Source organism: Homo sapiens, chromosome 4 (assembly GCF_000001405.40).
Source record: "Homo sapiens chromosome 4, GRCh38.p14 Primary Assembly".
Lineage (NCBI taxonomy): Eukaryota > Metazoa > Chordata > Mammalia > Primates > Hominidae > Homo > Homo sapiens.
The window spans coordinates 128287933-128293564 of record NC_000004.12 but is presented as its reverse complement, the minus strand read 5'-3'; the positions used below and the strand labels follow the sequence as shown (position 1 = coordinate 128293564).

The following is a 5632-nucleotide window of genomic DNA, read 5'->3' as shown; positions in this document are numbered from 1 at the left end:
CTGATCTGGAACTCCTGAGCTCAGATGATCCACCCACCTCAGCCTCCCAAAGTGCTGGGATTACAGGCATGAGCCACCATGCCCAGCCTATAAACAACTTATTATTGTGGAAAAGAATAATAGAGTAAGCAATAAAATATATTTGGGCACAAAATACATTAAAATAAAATTATGTTAGGGAAGTAGAATGAAAATACAAATTCAAATAGGAAAAGGCATAATGTAAAATTTCTGTGAAAATAAATGATGGTGAGTATTCCTTTTCTATGGATTTAGATTTCATTTAGATTGCATTTTAGGTAACATAACCCTTTTTATTTTAAAATATTCACATTTATATTACGCAAAAAATTACATGTTTTGCCACTAAGGTCAAAATATTTTACATGTCAACTTAAAAACTATTTTAGGGGTGTGTCAGCAAAAGTATGAAGACCATTACCTTAACCCTGTGGGCTTATCCACTGAGATTAGGCTGGGATACAGTTACTTCCTTGGGTGAGAAGTCAGCAGTCAATTGTAGTAGTCGTGCTCCCATCTTCATGAGACCACTTCTCCAATACTGATTTCACCTCTTTTGCAGGATGTCCTGGGGCCACTAGTAAACTGTAGAGTCTGTCCCCAAAATGCCCTGAATGGGTCAGAACAATTTATCGATTAAATCAGTTCCAATGCTATTCTGTATCCAAGGCTGTAATTCACAATATGTTCTATCGCCATCTCAAACTATGTCCTGTCAGCTTGCCCAAAGTTATCAGAATTTCTAAAATGTGATCAAATACTTTAATAACTAAGAACCAACAAGATGTTCTCAATTTGATTTTAACCCTCTCCCAGTATTAATTTTCCAGAGAGAAATTAAAAGTTCAGAGATTAAATCACTCTGTCCTTCTAAATTATGGCCCAAAGTAATCAGTACCAACTTCATGTTAAAGTCCAAATCATTAATGGCCAACATTGAACTCTTTTACTCTGTGAATTAAAGTTCAAACAGGCTTTGTCACTCCCTGGAAGTGAACTTAGCTCCAAACCTGAAATTTCCCTTCCCCCGGGGAGCTGATGCTGTTTGGCTTACCCCAAGCCTCCCCTGGCAGGAGCAAGCTCCTTTGAAACTTGTGTGAGGTAGCAGAGGAGAAAGCACACTTTCCATGAGCAGGATGGCTCCCAAGAGAAAGTGGAGAGGAAGAAGGTGGGCTGCCCACGAGCCAAACTTAAACATCGGGAAACTCACTGGTGGCACTCAAACAGAGCATCAAATGATATGTTCGTGGCACTCCAATGTTTCAAGAAAAATGTGATATGGAAAAAAAAAAAAAGTTTTTCCCTAAAATAGGGAAAAATTACAAGAAACAATCTCTCTTATTTAAGAATTATTTATTGAATATCATGGTGCAAACTTCTGAGCTAGGTTCACTGGGAAATGCATAAGTGAGTCAAAGCTGGATGCTGCCTAACAACCAACCACTAGTATTTCTAACTCAATTATTATATATGTCAGTGACTCATATTTTAGATTTTTGTTATAGCACCACCCTATTTCCAGTACCAATTTTTATATTAGTATGCAAAAGTTGATACCAAACAACTCCAAATAGCTAAGTGACTCAGGACAGCAGAGATGTATTTCTTATTCATATACCTAGGTATGTTATTTGGGAGCTGTTTTCCACTTTGTCCTGTCTCCGAGACCCTGGCTGATGGAAGCCCACTCAATTTGAAACATCGTTGGAGTAGTGATTAAAGATGGCCACATTTTCCTGTAACTCTGTGGTTGACAAAAATTTTTGTAATAAAGATGGCCACAAATTCTTTGTCACTCTCCCTCCACCCCTATCAAGTGTTTATTTCCTCTCCCCTTAAAATTGAGCTGGCCCTGTAACTGCTTTTACCAATACAACATGTCATTTCCAGACCTAAGACTTACAAAACCTCGAAGTTTTTGCTTTTATTGCATTTGAGAATCCTAAGCCACCATGCAAGAAAGAAGTCAGGCTACTCTGCTGAAGAAGCCATGTGAATCAGAGAGTCTTTGGAACGGCATGGGTAAATAGAAAAGCTCAGCTACTCTAGCAACCTAGTTGAGCCTCCAAAAACTCCAGCCCCAAACAATACCAGGCTGGAACCACATGAGAGACCCTGAGCAAGATTAGACAACTGCCCATGAGCCTAGTCAACCCACAAAACTGTTACACATAATAAAATGGTGACTGTTTTAAACCATTAAGATTTAAGGTGCTTTGTCATGGGACAATAGATAATTAAAATATTTCATCACTGTTGGCAGGAAGAAACAGCGCAGGATAAATGTCCACAGGCTCTTAAAGCTTTTATTTGGAAATGACACAAGTCACTTCCAATCACATTTCATTGGCCATTCTTGAGGTAAAAGGAGTAGGGAAATCCAAATCTACGTGTGTGGAAAAAGAAATAGAAATATTTGGTGGCTAGTACTAATATCTTCCAGAGATTTACAAGTAAATCAGTAAATAGATGAAGTGTCAGGGGAAAAAAGCTAACAACAGGAGAAAAGAATGTACATGACGATTCTTGTAGATGTCCTCTAGGCAAAGCAGGGATGTAAGAGGAAAAGGAGGGTAGAAAGAAGTCAAAAATAAAAAAAATAAAAAAGCATCCGCAGGGAAAAAGTAGAAATCTTGGGATCTAAAGGACAGTTTCAATAACAGAATAGTCAAGAAGAGCATAAAATAAAAGGCCAAAATGGGTGGTACAGGTAAGGAACACACAGAAATTCAAAGAAGGTAGGTTAATGTGGGCTGATAGAGGCCTCAGGTGGAAGTAGAATTGAAAGAATGGATAGGTCATGGAATTTGTATGGTTAGAAATAAGAAGGGCATGCTCCGTGAGGAAACAGCATGAGTCAAGTCCTAGACTGTGCAATACACATAGCATATATGGGGCAAGGGACTAGGTATTGTAAGGGGAAACGTATCATTTAATAGAGGGTATCCAAGGGATTGTTTGCTGGGGAACGGGAAGGCAGGGAAGCCACTCAGGGACTTATGGAGGCCCTTGAGTGCTTTCTGAGTTGTCCTCTTCAAATTACAGAGCACCCCTGGAGATTGGTGTCTGAGCAAAGGAAATCAGAACACAGTTCTAGTCTCTTCGTGTAGGAATGAAATAGGAAAAGACTGACGGCAAGTCACCAATTGGAAAGTTATTGCAGTACTCAAAGCAAGAGTATCCTATTGGGACAAGAGCTTGTTACTTAGGGTGGAAAATAAGAACTTCCAACTAGTCCAGTTCAAGGGGCTTACAATGAGAATCAAAAAAGCTGGGGTTTTGGGAAGGCTTCAAGTGTGAAGAAGTCGAGACACTATTTTATCAAGGATATAAAGGAAAACTTTTTTACTTCACGTGGCAGCCAATGTTGGTTAGCTACCCAACATTCCCCAGCCCACTTCCTTGACAGCAGAACTTTAATACTGTCCAATTCCTCTCTTCCCTCCAAACCAACTGGAAAAGAAACCTACACACACTAATTCAGCCCCAAGGTAAATCCTGAGGGTCTAAGCTACTGGTTCTCAACCAGTACCACACCTCTGGGGGGTGGGAGGGAAAAACGGTTGATTTACGGTGTCACAATGCCTGAGGTGTGGTACTGACATTTAGCTGGAAGGAACCAGAGATGGTAAATGTCCAGCAATGCTCAACACAGTCCTGAATAAGAATTAAAAAAGCCAGATAAACACTAGGCAATCATGGATGTCCCATGCTCCTTGTCTGTTACTGCTTTAGGGACAGCTAATAGCCCAGTTCTGGTCAATAAGATATAAGGAGTGGCCTGCTTCTGGGGTGCTTTCTTCCTTCCTATCAATGTTGTCTCAACTGTATACAGCTCTTGGGACTGCTACAGCTATCTTCTCCTCAAAACCAGTTTCTTCTTTATCTTCCTATTTCCATCACTGGCACCTCCCATTTTCTGTTACCAAGTCCTAAAGCAATTTTGACTTCTCCTAACCCTTAACCTTAAGGTGACTATTCCTTTAGGTTTGCCTGGGATAAAACTGATATAACTCCTGGTCTCTGGCTATAATTATTAATGCCCTACTTTACTTCCAAAAGTGTTCCATATTGAAGGATAGAGTATATGGTCATTTACTACCAATTGTGTCGCTCTCCCTCAGGTACCTCTAATGCAGGGCTCAGCAATATGGCTTATAAGTTGTTTTTGCACCTCTCCAGAACTAAAAAAAAAAAAATTTACATATTTCAATGATTTTCTTAAAAATCAAAAGAATATTTCATACCTGAAATTATATTAAAAATTCAATGTCCATAGTTTTACTGAAGACAGCTACACTCATTCAAGTATTGTCTATGGCTGCTTTCTCGTTACAAGGTAGAGCTGAGTAGTTAAGGCAGAGACTTAAAATATGATCGGGCCCTTTACAAAAAATGTTTGCCAACCCCTGCTCTAATGTCTCCCCTAGCTCTGAGTCTCCTCACCTCACGCACAAATACCCTAGCCTACTAACTGCTTTCCCACTCTTTCCCCAGCCTCTAATCCTTCAGACACCTGGTTGCTATACAGCCTCTCTACAAGAGTGTCGACCCTGTCACTTGCCTCGTCAATATCCTCAGTGACTCCTACAAAACCGACAGTGAAAGGTTCAAACCTATTCTATGAGACTCAAGACAACAGACAACAAAGGGCAAGAGAGAACACGTCAAACGAGTTCGTCAAACGAGTTGAGTGCGTGAGACTTCAGAGGTCACTTTTTCACACTAGAATTTCAAGGTGTGAGAGGCTAAAAGACGTCCAAGTACATGAAACAGAACCTGCAAATAAGAGTGAATGACGAATAGAAAGACCACCTCAACCTGTCCACTTCCCTACGGCCGCAGAAGTTATGATTCAAGGAATAATGAGACTCTAAATCCTTTAAAATTCTACAAGAGCAGCCTTTGCCAAACCCAGCGGGGAGTGGCTGCTCGGTGCCAGCGCGAGGAGCACGTAGACTGCCGATGCCAGAGAAGCCCGGTGCGGGTTCCGTGCTTTCTCTCCGTTCCAGGAAGACCCCAGCTCGTGGCCAAATCTTCTTGCCGCTTCCCGGTCTGCGCGCCTACGCTGCCGGTTTCCCGACAAAAGCGACGGCGCCCTGGTGAAAAGCAGACGCCCCTCATCGGTTTGCGCCTTGCAGCTCAACTATGCCCCAGCCTCCCACAAGCCACCTGCCCGCGTCCTCCGCCAGGCGTCCAGCCCGGACCTGCCCCCGCGGCCGCCAAGGCGCACGTGAAGCTCCCGGGCGGGGGGAGCGCAAGGAGGCGGGAGTTTGCGGACGCGAACGCAGGCCTAGGAAGGGAAGCGATTCCAGGGCGCACGCGCAGAGCCTGGAGACTGGGCGGGGCGTGCCTCCCGCAGGGGTTACGAACGAAAGGCGAGCGCGTGGCGCTCAGGAGCCCGCGCACGCGCTGTGGTCTCGCCCCGCCCATGAGCGTCCGCGCGGCCGTCGTAGCATCTTTTCTTCAGACCCGCCCGGCTCGTCTACTTAACCTAGCGGAGGCTTGGAGTGAGAGCAGGGAAGTGTGGGGCGAGGTGGGCGGGGCGTTGCACGCGTGCGCGGCCAGCGAAAGAAGGGAGGGGGCGGGAGATCCGAGACAACGTTACCCC

At 43.6% G+C, this 5632-nt stretch overlaps 2 annotated features.

Moving 5' to 3' along the window:
- Positions 4457-4751: a silencer, noted in NCBI's record as "tiled region #12082; K562 Repressive DNase matched - State 5:Enh". NCBI's record gives its function as "represses a minimal TATA promoter and a strong SV40 promoter by Sharpr-MPRA in K562 cells {active_cell/tissue: K562}" and the evidence as "EXISTENCE:reporter gene assay evidence [ECO:0000049][PMID:27701403]".
- Positions 5123-5312: a silencer, noted in NCBI's record as "silent region_15684". NCBI's record gives its function as "represses an Ori minimal core promoter by ATAC-STARR-seq in GM12878 lymphoblastoid cells {active_cell/tissue: GM12878}" and the evidence as "EXISTENCE:reporter gene assay evidence [ECO:0000049][PMID:35858748]".